This window comes from Homo sapiens, chromosome 4 (assembly GCF_000001405.40).
Source record: "Homo sapiens chromosome 4, GRCh38.p14 Primary Assembly".
NCBI classification, from domain to species: Eukaryota; Metazoa; Chordata; class Mammalia; order Primates; family Hominidae; genus Homo; species Homo sapiens.
The window spans coordinates 155199233-155217489 of record NC_000004.12 but is presented as its reverse complement, the minus strand read 5'-3'; the positions used below and the strand labels follow the sequence as shown (position 1 = coordinate 155217489).

The 18257-nt window shown below is 38.6% G+C and overlaps 1 protein-coding gene and 1 long non-coding RNA gene across 4 annotated transcripts in view; one reads left to right on the top strand and one right to left on the bottom strand.

Annotated features, from left to right (window-relative positions):
- Nucleotides 1-413: 413 nt before the first annotated feature.
- The window catches only part of NPY2R (neuropeptide Y receptor Y2), a 43354-nt gene continuing 25510 nt past the window's right edge, over nt 414-18257 (bottom strand). The window contains exons 1-2 of one of the 3 annotated variants that reach the window (NM_000910.4): nt 8421-8854; nt 414-3598 (exon numbers count right to left, since the gene is read on the bottom strand). In NM_000910.4, coding sequence (NP_000901.1) covers nt 2405-3550 — 1146 coding nt within the window. In that variant the 5' untranslated portion in view covers nt 3551-3598; nt 8421-8854 and the 3' untranslated portion in view covers nt 414-2404. Of the gene's footprint in view, nt 3599-8420; nt 8855-18257 lie in introns of those variants that run through there. The other 2 variants (NM_001370180.1, NM_001375470.1) reach the window with 2 other exon arrangements.
- On the top strand, nt 9318-15124 carry NPY2R-AS1 (NPY2R antisense RNA 1). Its single transcript, XR_001741894.2, has 2 exons — nt 9318-9465; nt 9675-15124. It is a non-coding gene; the product is annotated as an NPY2R antisense RNA 1 (long non-coding RNA).

Below are 18257 nucleotides of genomic sequence, written 5' to 3'. Positions count from 1 at the left end.
ATGTAAGGCTTTTGGGAAATAGGTACATAGTAGTGTCATGATTGAGACAGAGAATACGGGAAGACAACGTGGAGGGGAGATGGGATGAGGTGTGCATTGAAATGGCAGGTTCTGTTTGAGATTTGATTTGCTGGTGAGACACCCATGTGGACATGGTCTATTGGCCGGTAGAGATACAGAATTGAAGTTAAGAAGAAAGGTCTTGTCTGAAAAATGAAGATCCACGTATCCTCATATTATGTATTGTAATTGCAGTCGTAAGAGTGGATCCATTGACTCAGGTTCAGGTACAGAATGGAAAGAGAGCTGGACTAACTGTGGAACAGCAGCCCTTATTTTTCTTTTTTAGTTGCATTAGTCTTACTGCCTTGTCTTAGACAAGCACTCTGATATAAAATTCCACACAATTTCTCTCATTTTCCCAACTTTTTAATTGCAACATAAAGCCTCTACATAAAAGGTATTTTATTAATGAATTGACATAATGAATTGGATAAGATATATGTTAATTGAATCATTAATTGGATTCTAATAATTTACTAATACAACATGTAACACAGTAGCATATACATTTCTTACAGTGTAATAATTCACCAAGAGGGAGGGTAAATCTTTAACCACAGTTTTCTATTAGCATCTTAAGCAAAGTGACTGCTACTTAAAAGACAAAAAGGTTATTTTTGAACAATTTGCCTAGTCTAACAGAAAAATGAATCATTTGATTATATATTACAGATATACATTACTTTTTGTTCGCTTCTTAAAGTCTTACACCTAATCTAACATATTGTTTTCATTCTTTTTCAGTATTCCAGAAGTGCAGTGCACTTAAAAACCAGTCCTTTATATCTATCATGGAAGGAATTTAATAGGAGCTATAATATGAATTTTAAATATATCCACAAAGTAAAGCTCTCCAGTTCATAAAATTAATGTTGTAACTATATATCATATGCATGTTGAAGTTTTTTGCTTTAAAAATATATTCACAAATTCTGTCATATTTACAAAAATATGACTAATGAAACTTTAATAGCATCTAAAGACGTATGACTATTTTAACATCTCAGTTGTTATTTTTTATGAACATAGAAGGTTTTTAAGCATCTTTGGTTGGGTACTATTGAAATAACAATTTTATTCATAATATAATTAAATAAAAAATACTGTAGCATCTATGTTCTACAATTTATAGAAACAATTTTTATGTATATATTCATATTATATAAAAATATAGCTAATTATTTTGAAAAGAAGACAAATAACTTATGTGAAACTGGTTTGAAATACAACATTTGCAAGATGAAATGAATCCAGTGTTTTTAGTACCTCTTACAGATAGGTCCATTTTAATGTAATTACATTGTTTTATTTAGTATGAATGGGTCCGTGGAGGATGAATTTCAAAGAAAATAACACTGCAGTGTTCTTTAAATACATGAGAGCTATGTACCTGTGCAAAAATAGCTTGTAAATACTGTGAAATGTTACAACATGCCACAAAAATTATTCTCTAGTCTGATTTAAATTTTAGTGTAGACAAACTTAGCTCCAATAGGAATAACAACAGAAATCATACATGTTCAAAAAGGTATAACAATAAAAGTATCAAGTTGTATTCTTGTTATCTAAATAGTATCTCCATAAAGCGGATGTAACTTGAAATTAGAAATTAAATGATGGTTTGCATTTCCTGTAATTCTGAGAATTTCAGCTTTTGATTCAGAGTTGAAGAAACTTTCACCAAACGTGCAATTGGTTTTAAGAACAATTGGCCCACTGAGTGTTGAGGAGTTCCCCTATCATCTGCCAAAATATTAATTATATAGCAAATTTCAGTTTATCTCCTCGAAGCCATTCGTATAGTTGGCAATCGTTTCCTGCAGCATTCCCTGATGGATTTTGTCTAGAGAATGAACAAAAAAATCAAAATGCGATGAAGGAGAGCCTGTGGCTCCCTGGAGAAATTTCTGTTCAGTGGTGTTTTCATAAGCCAAGCAGGGAGCAGCGAACTGCACACCTCCTCAATCCAGGTCCTAACGTGATTTGAAAGTCAACTTATTTTCCCACCGTCTCTCAGCAATGCTTTGATAATACCAATTTCTTGTTCAAGTTTTCTTCACTCCAGGAAAATAATCAAAAGTACTTCTCTCTGCTTTTACTCATAATGCAACCTACTACCCAACCAACTGTTAAGTAAACCATTTTGTTGCCTTATCTTTGAATTCCAGTATTTTCACACAGGCTCTGCCCAGCCAGTTTTCCAGGAATTAAACAGCAGATGCTTCCATTTAGATCCACTTCTTCTTTAAAATGGGAAATCAGTTTTCACTTGTGAGCCGCCATCAACCAGATTCATAGCTCTGGTCAGAATTCATCCATACATTTTCACACCACAGCTTCCTTAGACATTGGTAGCCTCTGTGAAAGAGTCATTGGGGCCACTGTTCTTTCTGACCTCCAGGTTCTTTTTAGCCTTGAATGTCACGGACACCTCAGAGTGAATGGCATCCAACCGCTGCTCACAGCGGAAGGCCGAGAGGAAAGCCTTTCTGTAGTTGCTGTTCATCCAGCCATAGAGAAGGGGATTGGCAAAAGTGGAGCACATGGCGATGATGTGGAACACTGTGAAGATGAGTTTGTACTCCTTCAGGTCCAGGACCTGGCTGTCAATGTCAACGGCAAGCTGGAAGGCATGGAGAGGCAGCCAGCTGACCGCAAACACCACCACCACACACACCAGCATTTTGGTGGTTTTTTGCCTTCGCTGATGGTAGTGGTCATTTGCAGCTCCAGGACTGACATGGTTCTTCAATTTACTCCAAATGCGAGTGTAGGAAAATGATATAATGCCCAGAGGCAAAACATACAAGATCAACAAGGAAGAAAGACTATAGACAGTGCCATAGATGCTCTTCTCCTCGCCAGGCCACTTTTCAGTACAGGCCACAATCTCAAAGTCCGGGATGATCTCAATCAGCGAATACTCCCGGAAGATGGCCAGGGGACTTGCCAGCAGGGCACTGATGCCCCAGGCCAAGCCAATAATCAGGAAGCTGATTCGCTTGGAGATCTTGCTCTCTAGGTGGTAGACGATGCACCTGTGCCGGTCCAGGGCAATTACTGTCAAGGTGATTGTGGATACTTGTACTGCCAGGCCCTGGGCATAGGGCACCAGGTGGCACAGGACAGGACCCATTTTCCACTCCCCCATTAAGGTATAGGTAAGAGTGAACGGTAGACACAGAGTGTTCACCAAAAGATCTGCCACAGCCAGATTGGCAATGAAAAAGTTGGTTACTGTGCGCATGCTCTTGAATTTGATCACCACATGGATCACCAAGGAGTTGCCAATTACCCCAAGCAAGATGATGGAGCAGTAGGCCAATATGAGAACAACTTGTACCTCAATCAGCTTGGTACTATCTATAAGCTCTGGCTCAGGGTCAGGGACCAGTTCACCTCTAGGAGTTGTTTGTGGCCCGTATTGTTCCACCTTCATTTCTTCCACTGTCTGGTTCTCATCAGCCTCTGCACCTATTGGACCCATTTTCAGTACAGGTCCACTTGGCCTGCAACCAGCACAAGAGTCTACAACCTAAAAAGAAAAAACAAAATAAAACAAAACAACAACAACAAAAACCAATGGAACGAGGAAAACACAAAGGTGAAGCAAAGAAATTTCACAAATGGACTGGTTTAATTTTGGTTAGGGATCAAAATATCCTCTACTCTCTAAAATTGTGCATAGCAAAACATTTTAATGAAATAGACCCTTTAATAAGTCTATTGTCAAATATGGATCAATTAAATCAGGTTTCTGAAATATATGCTATGACGGTAAAGTATAATACCGATAGTATAGACATAATTTCAAAGTGAATGCTATCAAATGGATTAATTTCATTTTAAGTGGAATGAATATTATAAACTTTATGAATTGTATAACCACTATGAATTCATTGAATTAATTTTCAGGTAGATAAAAAAGTAAAGTTTCCTTCATTATCTTGACTGTTTCAAATTTATAAATATACAGCAACAAATTGTATAAGAAAGGGGAACATATTAAAACTATTTGTCTGGTGCCTGAACCTTGGGACTATGAATTATCTCAGATAAACCAAGCAGATTCTGTTTTTGGTGCAGGATTTAGTATTAAAAATAGTATTAAAATATATAGAAGAGTTACTTTTTTAAAATTTAATTTCAATAGCTTTTGGGGTACAAATGTTTTTTGGTTGCACAGATGGATTGTATGGTAGTAAAATCAGATTTTAGTGCATCTGTCACCCAAGTAGTGTACCTTGTACCCAATATGTAGTTTTTTTATCCCTCACTCCCATTCCCACCCTCTCCTTTATGAGTCTCCAAAGTCCATTATACCACTCTGTATGCTTTTGTGTACCCACAGCTTAGCTCCTACTTACAAATGAGAACCTATTGTATTTGATTTTCCATCCTAGTTACTTCACTTAGAATAATGGTCTCCAGCTCCATTCAATTTGTTGCAAAAGACATCATATCATTCTTTTTTACAGCTGAGTAGTATTCCATGGTGTATTACATACCACGTTTTCTTTATCCACTCAATGCTCTAAGGAAACTTGGGTTGGAACAGTTGCTTTTTTGAATGATCTTAAATAAACTTCTGAACTAACATATAACATTTCATGCTTTCTCAAAATCTCTGTTAGCCTCTACATTTAAGAGAACCCGCAGACTAGTATGTTACATATCTCTTCCACCTATTTTCTCATCGTTTCTACAACATTGGTTTTATTCTTCTTAATCTCTTATCATGATTACTCTAATCATCTTCTAACTTACCTCCCATCCTCTTTTGCTTTTATTTATTAATTAATTCATTCACCTAACAGAAATAATCGAGTGTCTACTCAATGCCAGGGGTGGCTTTACCATCCTGGCGCCTTTACTTCTTCAAACCTGCATGCATCATGCATTTAAAAACCTATGTCTTGAACTAGGGTTTTTGCCGGGTGAAGACAAGAGGATAGTACCTCTACTCTAAGGCTCTCACATTTTACTGGACAATGCCTACTCTGATATTAAAATTTTTTTTTCTGAAATTCAAATGTGATCATATTGTTTTCCTCAATGTCTCCAGATTGTTTGAAACAATTACGATGTATTTTTTTAATATAAGTTTCATTTTTTCAGTCTGTTAAAGCATTCAGAGCCCAACACCATGGTGGTAGTACCTTTCAAATATGCTCATAATCACAAAAGGCTGCCACTGTTCATTCAGAGCTTCTTTTATGAATTTGTTTTTATGAACCTTTCAATGAATGTGTTTGTAATTAATAGCATCTAACACCATTGGTAGGAAAGTCATATATTTATTCAGCCCACAGATAATGCTTGGCTGGGCCTATGTGCCCCCCAGCTCCTTCCCTCACTGTTCCTCTGTTCTGTTCTGCTCTGTACCACAGGAGGGCTGACTCTCACAGAATACATTTTCAAGCTCCAAGTCCTTGGGATTCTGGCTGGGTTTGGTCGGTGGGAGGCACTGGCAGGCAGCAGGAAGGGAGAAGCCACTATATTCTTCTTCCTCCCTCTCTGCTCTTGGCAGTGCCTCTACAGCAGTTCTGTAGCTCTGGTTTTCATAGGACAGACCTATTGTGATTCTGATTCCAGAGGGTGTCCCTGTTCCGGGGGCCTTGGTCACACTACCTCTTCCTCATATCCATCCAGCTGGAGGCAGTAATGACTTCCTGCTCTTGGTAATCCCTAGGTAGTCTCAACATCCATTGTTTGGCTTCCATCACTTGTTTAATCAACTATCTGAATTAAATTACTCCTTTTTTACATTCTTGAATAGATTCTGTTTTGCATGATCTGATAATAACATACATGTATGCTTTCATTAATTTGCTCTCCCACCAAAGGATCTGCACCCACAGGTTGACAACACTGGCCTATAGAAGAAAATCCCAACTCCTTAGCCTGACATTCGAGGCTTTTCTTGAACTCATCCCTGCATATCCCTCTGGCCTCATCTCTGCTGACAGCCCAATATATACTGTCCACTTCTGTCATACTGCCTTACTTCCAATTCCAGTAACACCTGAGCCTTTTTCATGCCTCTCTGCCCTCCCCGTTTTAAACTGGGAAGCCTCTCAGTTACCCCAAGCCCCTGTGCTCACTTCTAATGCCGCATGTACCACATGCCACGTTGTGACTGTTTTCCTTCGTTTACCCACCACAGCAATCTCTTTGAAGACAGAACCTAGACCTTCTTCCTCCATTGTTTAATCCCTAGCACACTATATAGCATATTAAAGGTACTCAGCAATTTGTCAGAACAAATATAAAGCTAAAGGAAAGCACAATTATACTGAATAATCAATGTCAGCCAAATGGAAAGTATAATTTTGATCCTTTCCTTTACTGAAGACAACTGCCTATGTAGGGTTCTTCCCTATGACATAACATCCATATGCTTATTTTCTTATTCTTAATCAGATAACTGCTTATACAAAAAAAAAATTGTCCTGAGACCCTGTTAAATTAATTCCTGATTATAACATTTTAAATTGTCAGTATAACCCATAAAGAAAACTTTCTGTTTCAAAGGTTTCTGCTCCCCCAACTCTCTTTCTCCCGCTCCATTTATCTCACTTTTTTTTCTCTTTCCGCATCTTTCCCTCACTCTCTGTCTCTCACCACTCACCCTTCCACAGGAGCCTTACTATACAGAGAGACATGAGAGTTTCCATGTACTCAGGTGTTTGCCGTACTGATATATTCCTGCTCCCTCTGCATAAATTTCACATAGAACATTCCAAGGAGCCCCAGCCTCTTTTCACATGTGCCTCCACTCCTTAGTAATTAGAGAAATCTGAAACAAATCATTCATATCTTGGAGTGTATGTTTGATAGCCCACACCATATCCCCTAGACTAAGAAAGAGACTGGTTTTAGAGTACAGTTACTCAATCCTGACAAGCCATTTAGCCATTTACAGAATTAAAGAGACTCCAAGAGGCTGGAGTTTGGAGGTTATACCTGACTAAATTGAGAGGAAGCATGAGATTGAAGGTTACTAGGAGGAAGAGTATACTTGATTTTTTGATTTGCTTTGCTTTTTCTTCTCAGTCTTGTTTTATAAATTTTGAAGCCCTTTTATTTACAACTTCTCTGTAGGAATGGTTGTTGATCTACAAGCTCTTAGAATATAGACAGTGTTAGCTGTGCTTAAGCAGGTTACTCCCTTCAGCCAGGTCAAAACATTACCCAGAGCAGAAAATGCATCATTTCATGACAGCACTTCTGGAAAAGTGGGAAAGGAAAATGGTACACAGAGGAAGTTGCCATCAAAAGCACACAAAGGAAACAGCAAGCAGACAAGGGAATAACCTTTCTTTGAAATAAGGCAAAATGAGATATTTACATTACTTTAAGACATTTAAAGAGAACTTTTACTGGTACAATTTTCCTGAATAAGGGAATCCTTAGAAACTTTGTCATAGAAACATTTCTTTGCAGAATAGGAAAAGAGTTTCAGGACTTCCCCCAGCAGCCCACCACCCGAGATTCAAATAACCTCAAGTTATTTGAGTCAGAGACCAGTTCATGCTTTGAGGAGAGATGTTTAAATCTGTGGGGGCTTTTTGCAACAATATTGTCACAGGTTGGCCTTAGTAAACCTACACATCTTATCAAGCACAATGTCTTCCAGAACATTTTTCCCAGGGAAAAATATCTCAGAAATCAGTCTCAGAAATCAAAAGCCCTGCATTTGCCTACACTAATTAGTTCTAGGAATGGGGGCAGGGGAGGGGGAAGAAGGGAAGTTTCAAGAATGCTACATACAAGACATGATTGTTTGGCTAATCAGTAGAAAGTTGAAAATATTCACCAAAGGGTGTGGGAAGCCTTTCTTTGGAAACAGCATCTCCATTTCATGTCACTGAATTTTAAATGATGTGTACCTATTGCAAAAAGTCTCAAAGCTTTTAATTTTGCCTCTTTCCCTGCCACCAAAAGCTCCTGCCAGTGGGTGAGCCTTTCTGATGGAAAATGAGCAAACGCTTAAATGAATGTGTCTCCTCTTGAACGGCTTTGGAGAATCCAATAGGACCTTCTGCTTTAGACAAGTGTTTGATTTTTAAAGAGGCAGGAACAATAACAACTTACTGTTCTGGAAAGATAATGACCTATCTCAAAGAAGGGTCAAGGAAATAGTAAATAATCTTCAACAGAAAAGGGAAAATCTAGAGAAAGTAGAAAATGGGGATGGTATTACATCCTCCAAATCGCCACCTCCCGCCTAAAGGAGGAGGAAAAAGTCCATACACTCATGAGGACCTCCTCATGTCCCTCTTCATAGGAACCGAGCGCTCCTCTAGGGATTTTCTTGTTCCCAGGAGGTGATCAGAGTTAGGAATTACACTTACTGACCTGGACCTCGCGTTTTTGCGGAGACGCGGAAACAAGATGTGTGCAGTCCGTCTGTCCGATGATTAGCCAGCCGACCTGGAGAGGGCCCTGGAAGGTGCCCAAAGGCAAGTCCGGTTCCGTCCCCTCCTAGGGTCCAGGACAGCCCGCGCCGCGCGGGCGGGCAGCCGGAGCAGTCAGAGCGGCTGGGCGGTTGGCGCTGCCGGGTCTGCTGCCGACCTCTCAGGCCAAGCGCGCCTGGGCACCGCACTCACTCGCGGGGTGGGCGGGTGAAGGTGGGAGGATCAGAGATGGGAGCGTGGGGAGGGGGGCAAACCCCACCCTTAAACACAAGAAAACAGGTGCAGAGGCTGCGGGCGATGGTCCTGCAGGGGAGGGGACTGGAGGAGAAGTTTTGGTGGCGAGGGAGCAGGAACAGTGTCCAGGGTCTCTCAGCCGCCTCCCGGGCTTGCAAGCCCGCTCAGCCAGACCCTACCCAGAGGGGCGCCCCCTCGCGGGTCCCCAGCCACCACCTGCAGCTGCTGCTGTCACCTACTGTGCCACCCCCAAGTTTGATACTCTGGGCGTTTGCGCCACCCCTACCTCCCTTCCCTTCCACGAATCTCTCCCTTTGCTCTCTACCCCCCAGTTCCGCGAGAGCTGGCCCGGCGAAGACAGACCTCCTGGACTTGAGGCCGACTTCACCAAATCCGCCCCGGGAAAAGGCGAGGGCAAAGGCGGGGCGGACAGACCCAGCTGCGGCTGAGGGACTGCGGTCCCTAGCAAGGCAGGCGAGCGAAGGAGACCTCAGGCTGGCGGGAGGAGGGCCGGGGCTGGAGAATCCCCGCGCCTCGTAGGGGCTGAGAAAATTCCACAACTTCCAATCGAGAGTTGTTTTCTTTTGTGTGTGTAGGAGCAGAGATGGGGAGCTGGATCCGCGCAGAACCCCGGAAAAGCGCCAGCAGGATTGCACCGAGAACAAATCCTCCGCACCCTCGCCCAGGGCTGGGGCGCAGTGCGCTGGTGCTCCTCTAGCTGGGCGGTCCCTGTGCTCCAAACGAGAAGGTAAAGCGAGTTCAGATCCTGCTGCCCATGATCAGCAATTTCCCTAACAGGTGTCTGCAGACAGTTTATAAGTTGAGTAGTGCAGATTCAGACTCGATAGCCAGGAACCTGTGTAGTGAGCTCTGGCTCAGGTTAAAAGCTAGGATAGGGATAGGATAGGAAAGCTATGGGACACGAATAAAACACAATCTCTCTCTCTCTCTCTCCAGATAGCTGACTTCCGAATCCTTCACTCTTTGATCCTGACCCAAGCCACTCGTGCCACTAGGAGCGCATGCCTATGGAATACTCGCTCCTGTCTCCTTGTGGTGAAGCCTTCCGCTAATGCCCAGAGCCTCCCAGGCTGGATTAGTGGGTAGGAGCAAAACAGGATAGTGGAGACAATCAGCAGAGCAGCAGCGTCTATTTCCTCGGGATTCCTCCCAGGAACCCTATTCGAAGCCATTCCTTCTAAAAGTTTGCAGCCAGTCTCTCTTTCCTTTGTTGGTTTTAAGAGGAGGCAGTAGAGCTACCTACATACAAAAACGAAAGCCTGATACTGGTAACCTAAGTCTTTACTTAACCATCCTCTTCGGAGGCTTTGCACACATTACTTTTCCTCTATGCATTGTCATTTCTGAAATAAGGATGGTCATACTGGTGTGCTTGGAATTTCTCTGAAATATACTCCTAAAAGATTAGATTAAGATTAGATTCCGCTACTCTAAAATGAAAAAAAATATTTATCTGTTTAAAAAGGTAATACATATTCTCCAAGATGTTAATTAAAGGCTTCCCTCAAATGGATTGGATTTTCAGTTCCTTCAGGGTTTTCCACACCCTAATAGTATTGCATTTGTAAGGCATTTTTACAGTGTAACCTGAAATTAATCTTCAGTTAATATAGAATTATGCCCACAGGAGTATAGGAATTGTTTATAAAACAAAGCAGCCTGGGCTTTTCAAATACCTAGAAACAAAGGTAAACAGAAATGGAAATATTTAACATGTTCTACACAGTTCCACTTAAAGTCTTTTAGTAGTTGTTTTTGTTTTGTTTTGTTTTGTTTGTTTTTTCCTTAAGAAAGTACTCTTTGCCCAAATATGTGTTATATGTGACAGGTTCCATTCTTCTCAATATATCTGCATTGGTGAAGAATGAACCATATACCAATAAGTTATAACTTTAAAAGAGTAGAAATGGATTTAAACAACGACCACAAAAACAAATCAAATATCCAGCAAAACAGATGAGTGTTGTCTTTTAGAGCAATTGCTTTGGAAAATTCAACTGATTTCACTGACATTGATTGCACAAAACACATTTTATCTTCTTTAAAATTGCCTTTCAGAAGCGTATTAGCAGCCATAACCAACTATTTGCCTCACTCTCTTATAGACGTGTGTTTGTCTTAGTAGATTCATATAGTTCCACAGACATCTAGTCAGCAACCTCAAAAGAGTAAATGGTCTCTATGATTAATGTCCTTTAATAAAGTTCAGAATTGGATGAGAAACTGATAAACTGAAATGAAAGTCACTTCATAGTGTATCATATTATCAAGGAGAGCTGTGGGAATTAGCTTATGACACTTTTGTGCATCACAGTCTAATTCATATCCTTAAATGTGCATACATATCCTGTGTATTGTAGTAACAATGAACCACTCTGATGAATGTCCATAAACCCAGTTGTGACACTGACAGGAGTTTGGGAGTTTGTGGAAGTGGTGGTGAAATATCGATTAATCCAAATTGAAATAGGACAAGATTATTGATGCTTGATTTCTTTTGTATCAAATCATTTAGTTGCTCAGGAAATTCCATTTCTAACCAGAATATGTGCTGTGACTGCTCTTCAAATAGACAACAGACTCAAACTCAGATGCCTGCATGGTTAGGGCCAATGACATAAATGGACCAGCATGCTAGGTTGTAGGAGAGAGTGGAAAATGTTGATTGCCATAACACCTTGAAGAGCACAAAAACACATGCTATAGCTAAATGGGGAGATTGCTTCTCAGAGTACACTCAGCTGGCCTGCAAAAATCTTGATTCAGTATTGTCAGATACGATTTTTAAGAGAAGCAAAATCCATATTGTTAAAAATCTTCTGAATTTTAAATAAACCAAATTAATTTTTAAAAATCCAAAACTCCTAGTGGACAGGCCAAAATAAATAAGAAATCATAGATAGATAGATAGATAGATAGATAGATAGATAGATAGATAGATAGATAGCAGCCTGACTCATCATGGGCCTCCAATATTGTAACATGTTATATTAGTATTTGATGTCTGACAAATCTCCTTAGATATTTAAAACATAGTTCTACTACCATTTCCCCTACCCCATAGACCATTTCTCAATGCACAGAAATACAAAAGGAATACAGCCAAAGATTAGTTGCCAAATAAGTAATTTTCTTTTCCATTTCTGGTTGAATAGATATTCCCAAGGAGACTCTGAAGTAAGAGATTTGTTGAATAACTGAACAATCCAAATATTTTAGATAGCTAGATGAAATTTCAGAAAAGCTCTCCATTAAAAAAGTTCAATAATATCAGTATTGAGGACCACTTGTGATACATACTTATTAGATAAAGAAAATCATGATATAGATTTCCTGCACTGTAATTTCATTTTAACAGCAAAGATGCTTCCCCCACGGTATAAATAATTTCATTGTTATTTTGATTATAAAAATTATAATCATTGTAAAAGTTAGAATAAACAAAAACATCATAGAAGAAATAGGCATTATCTAAAACAATGCAGTCCCACAGAACTTTCTGCAATAATGGAAATGTTTTGTATCTGGGCTGTGCAGTACAGTAGCCACTAGACATATGTGGTTATTGAGCACTTGACGTGTGGCTAGTGCAACTGAAGAACTGAAATTTTAAATTTTATTGAGTTGTAGTTAATTTGAATGTAAAACTAAATATAGTTGACCCTTGAACAGCACAGTTTGAACTGCACAGGTCCACTTAAACTCAGATCTTTTTCACCCAAACACAAATGGAAAATACAGTGTTTGCGGATGTGAAATGGCCTTTACAGAAGGTCCATTTTTCATATATGTGGTTCTGCAGGGCCGACTGCCAGACATGAATATGCAAGGATTTTGGCATATGCAGGGGTCCTGAAACCAATAGCTGCTCTCCCCGCCCCCCGCCCCAGTATACAGAATGACAACTGTAACCACATAGGGAGCGTAAGTGGTGGACTGTATAAAGTCTAAAATTTCATCATCCAGCATGACCATCATCAGCATATTGGTGTAAAATCTCTACTTTTAATTAACTTGTAGCCTGCCTTCTCAACTTTTAAGCTTAAAAATATGTCAAAAACATATTTCCATTTCCTTAATATAATAAATATACATCCTTCCTTTAATGGTTGCCTAGTCATAAACTGTATGATTATATTCTCATGAGTTATTGTTGTTATGGACAAAACTGTGAGAAATGATCTTGGATATATTTGCAGTACCTTTGTCCAGTTATTTCTTTCACATAAATCCAGCAGGGAGTAAGAGCGAGGTATTTTAAAATTTTTTCCTTAAGCCAAGTTCACATTACATAAACCTTAACCACAAAGGTTAAATTGAATGATGGGAAAACCAAGAAACTTCTTCCATGAAAAGGCAAATACTTCAGGTAACATGGAGTCCACGTAAAGTGTTCAGTATAAAATTTCAGTGGCCCCAGGTGGGGAAGATTGAAGTGGGGAAACTAAATCAGGAGGAAAAAAAAGCACAAGAGAATAAGTTTCTTTGGATTCCAGGGTTTCCTGTTTTCACTCTGCCAGAAAGCTAGCTTTTTCGTTTTTTTTTTTTTCCCCTCACCTTAATATCAGCGGTCCCTGAGAGATTATTGAGTAACTTGTAAGCCATATCAACCTGACTTAAGCCACAGACAGAACAAAGTGGTGCAGTTCCGCTGGAATGTGGAAGCTGATTCCCAAAGAAAAGAAGTAAACCCACAAATCAGGCCACTGGCCAAAAGGAAGAAATTTGAGGAAGGGAGGAAGAGCACAGGACCAAAAAGTGAGCACAGCCAGCTGAAGTGGAAGAATTATCTTAACTCCAGTAATGTAAGAAAAGCTCAGAGAAGCTAATAAAGTCATGTACTTAACTTCTTAGGTTAAACAAACAAAGACTAATGAGTTCCTAGTTAGGAAATATTAATAATCAAACTAGCTGAACATGTAGTTATGGTATTTAGTATATTGAAAACTGATTGTCTTGCTTTATTTAAATGCTTGATACGTTTAGTGAATATTTTTAAGCTTATTAAGTCCCTCTTGTAGAACTAGTATTTAAAGTTTCAATAATTGCCTTGTAGCAAAAATTATGGAACCTAGATATCCTAATGGCCATTTGGTTATAATATAGATTCTCAATAGGTCATATGGATATTTCTGTTTGGATCTATGCCTGCTTTTCCTTTCATGGAGGAGAAGGAGCAGAAGGAGTTAATACCTGAACAGATATAATTGGGGCTGCATCAAATACACATATAAAAAAGTCTATATAAGTGTACTACTTTAAAATAGTCTTTTTAAAAAAAACTTCACTTTTTGAAAAACTAGTCAATCTAATCAAGTTTGTTCTGATGAAAAATTGACTTCCTTCTCTGACCTTCATTTGTAGCGAGTAGTCCAGTAAAGTTTGAATGGGCAAGAAATGGTCATCAAATCGTGAACTTCACAAATCTCATAGGCTAAATTTCTTAAAATATTTGTATGCAATATGAATAAGGCAGGTGTCTTATTCAAGAAAAGCAAGTAGTCATTCAAAGTAAAACGTATGCTACTTCCTAAACTGGGCATATCATTTGCTATGATTTTTATTTCTGTGGATTTGGCTTTTTATTTTTGTTTTGAGTTTTTAATTGCAAATTCAAAGCAATTAAGCAGGATTATAAGCAACATATGCAGCATGTTGCTGAGATTTTTACTTTTTAGCAATCATCCAAATGGATATTGATACTAGTAAGGAACCAAATCTAAAAGGGTATTTAAATGCAAATGATTCACAGTTTGAATTTTAACTAAGAACAAAGGAAGGGACATTTTTAAGTGGAATTCAGAATTTAATCAATGCAAATTTTCATTTGATTATCTGAAACATGCACAGAAGACCCATGGCTAAAGAGGAAACATGCACCATTTTAGAAATTTCAATTTTATTTAATAAGTGTTTATCCTTGTAGCATATAGAGACATAATTTGATATATATTTTTGAATCATACACTGAAAACAAATTTAAGTTTTAATTTTTTTAAAAAGAGTACAAGTAAAATCAAAGCTCTTTCTCATGCTAAATTACTATTGATATCTCCTGAGAAAGGGGAAGTGAAAGATTTATATACAGTTTTCACATAGCATTTTGGAGATGGTGAAATGTTTTATTCAAAATAAAAATTTCAGAACATGAAATGAATAATGCAAGTAGCATTTAATTCATGACTCATTACTCTTTTATTATACAAAGGAATTATATAAAATCCATATACGATTTTATTACGCACCACTCCTACAAAGAAATCTTTATTGAGACTGTATGCTAGACACTGTCCGTGTAAAGATGAATTGTACACAGACCTGCTATTGATTGTCTCTAGTCTGTTAAGGGTACACAGGCTTTTAAATAAAGAAATACATTAAACAGATTGAGATTTCTGAGTGGACTCTGACAGCAGCTTTGAGACCCCAAGGAGGAATGGTCATTTGTTTTTGTTTTTGTTTTTGTTTTAAATGAATCTTGTGTATGGGAAGAATTAGAGAAATGCTTTATGGAGGAGGTACCCCAACCCTTTGTAAACCTAGATAGAAATACTTCTTGGCTTTAGCCAGCATTGGGATACCATCTTCTTTATGAAATATATTTCTCCATTGCATTTAACTGGGATATGTGATACTGAGTCAATGTAGAACCCAGTGGTGAAGAACAATCTTTTACATATGTCAAAGTATAATTTCCAAAGTTAAAGACATTATTCTCAAACAAAATATATAGTGAGTATATGTCAAAGATCTATTTAATTGATAAATTAAAGGGAACCGGCACAACAACAAAGCTGGTTCAAAGTAGGATCCCAAATGTGAATGCATATATAGTCAGTGAAAGGAAGAATCCTGGATAAGACTGATGTGTTAATGCAAAAGTGGTAGATATCCTGCTGTGCTATAAAGCCATAACTTTTGGACTTATATTTCTCACCAGGCAGAAATTATTTGCATCTCTGCTGGGAAAAATAAAATTTCACAATTTTCTATAAGTTTGCATCAAACTTTATGGGGCTGGACTGTAATCTAGGGCACACAATAAGTCAAACTAAATAAGTCACTTTAACCTGGCAAGTCAACTGACCTTTAGGGTCTTAAGATGATGCTCCAACGTGACATTAAAAGGGCATGTGATCATCCTACCCTGCTTTCTTATTGCAACCTAACAAACTACCCCAAAACTCAGTGGCTTAAAACAGTTATTTTATGTTGCTCTTTGTGGGTCAGAAGTTCAGGAAAGGCCCAGTTAGGCGGTTCATCTCTGATCCATGTGGCATCAACTGAAGAATGATGGTAACTTGACTCACATGTCCTGGCTCCTGAGCTGAGTTGGTGATAGTACTTGGAAGCTCATGCTTCCCCCTGTTTACACATGACAGTCTCAGAGTATTTAGACTTATAACATGGATTTTAGCTTTCCAAAGAGAAAAGCTTCTAAAAGAGAGTGTTCTGTGTGACCCAGGCAGAAACTATAAGGCTTCTTATGACCTCTCAAGGCCCAGAACATCTCTTCTGCTGATCCTTTGGGGGAAACAAGTCTCTAAGATCACACTATATACAAAGGGAGAAGAGGAATATACTCTACCTGTGAATGAGAAAATGGCACGTATATACAATGGAGGGAAGGAATTGATGATAGTCTAAGAGAAATATCATTACCCATCCCTTTGCCTTGCAGTATATATATTGTTTGCATTTGTAGTTTTATATTTTATTTTATTTTATTTTATTTTACTTTAAGTTCCAGGATACAAGTGCAGAGCGTGTAGGTTTGTTACGTAGGTACACTTGTGCCATGGTGATTCGCTGCACCTATCAACCCGTCATCTAGGTTTTAAGCCCCACGTGCATTAGCAGTTTGTCTTAATGCTCTCCCTCCCCTCACCCCCAAACCACCAACTGGTCCTAGTGTGTGTTGTTCCCCTCCCTGTGTCCATGTGTTCTCATTGTTCAACTCCCACTTATGGGTGAGAACATGCAGTGTTTGATTTTCTGTTCCTGCATTAGTTTGCTGAGGATGATGGCTCCCAGCTTCATCCATGTCCCTGCAAAGGACATGATTTCATTCCTTTTTATGGCTGCATAGTATTCCATGATGTATATGTACCACATTTTCTTTATCTAGTCTATCATTCATGGACATTTGGGTTGGTTCCATGTCTTTACTATTGTAAATAGTGCTGCAGTAAACATACATGTACGTGTGTCTTTAAAGTAGAATGATCTATATTCCTTTGAGTATATACCCAGTAATGGGATCACTGGGTCAATTGGTATTTCTGGTTCTAGATCCTTGAGGAATCGTCACACTGTCTTCCACAATGTTTGAACTAATTTACAATCCCAAACAGTGTTAAAGTGTTCCTATTTTCCACAGCTTCTTCAGCATCTATTGTTTCTTAACTTTTTAATAATCACCATTCTGACTGACATGAGATGGTATCTCACTGTGGTTTTGATTTGCATTTCTCTCTCTAATGATCAGTGATGTTGAGCTTTTTTTCCCCATATGTTTGTTGACCACGTAATGTCTTCTTTTGAGAAGTGTCTGTTCAGATCCTTTGCCCACTTCTTTATGGGGTTGTTTGTTTTTTCTTATAAATTTGGTTAAGTTCTTCGTAGATTTTTGATATTAGACCTTTGTCAAATGGGTATATTGCAAACTTGTCTCACATTGTATAAGGTTGTCTGTTCATTCCAATGATAGTTTACTTTGCTGTGCAGAAGCTCTTTAGTTTAATGGTCAATTTTGGCTTTTGTTGCAGTTGCTTTTGTTGTTGTCGTCAGGAAGTCTTTGCCCATGCCTATGTCATTAACGGTATTGCCTAGATTTTCTCTAGGATTTTTATGGTTTGGGGTTTGGTTTTACGTTTAAGTCTTTAATCCATCTCAAGTAAATTTTTGTATAAGGTGTAAGGAAGGGGTCCAGTTTCAGTTTTCTGCATATGGCTAGCCAGTTTTCCTGGCACCATTTATTAAATAAGGAAACCTTTCCCCATAGCTTGTTTTTGTCCAGTTCAGATGGTTGCAGATTTGTGGTGTTATTTCTGAGGTCTCTGTTCTGTTCCATTGGTCTATATTTCTGTTTTGGTACAAGTACCATGCTATTTTGGTTGCTGTAGACTTGTATATAGTTTGAAGTCAGGTAGTATGATGCCTCCAGTTTTGTTCTTTTTGCTTAGGATTGTCTTGGCTATATGGGCTCTTTTTTGGTTCCATATAAATTTTAAAGTAGTTTTTTTTCTAATTCTGTGAAGAATGGCAATAGTAGTTTGATGGGAATAGCATCGAATCTATAAATTACTTTGGGCAGTATGGCCATTTTAACAATATTGATTCTTTCTATCTGTGAGGATGAAATGTTTTTCCATTTGTTTGTGTCTTCTCATTTCCTTGAGCAGTAGTTTGTATTTCTCCTTGCAGAGGTCTTTCATGTCCCTTGTTAGCTGTATTCCTAGGGCCTTATACTCTATTTTAGATGTTGTTTGTTTGTTCAATACACACATTAAAGAGCAA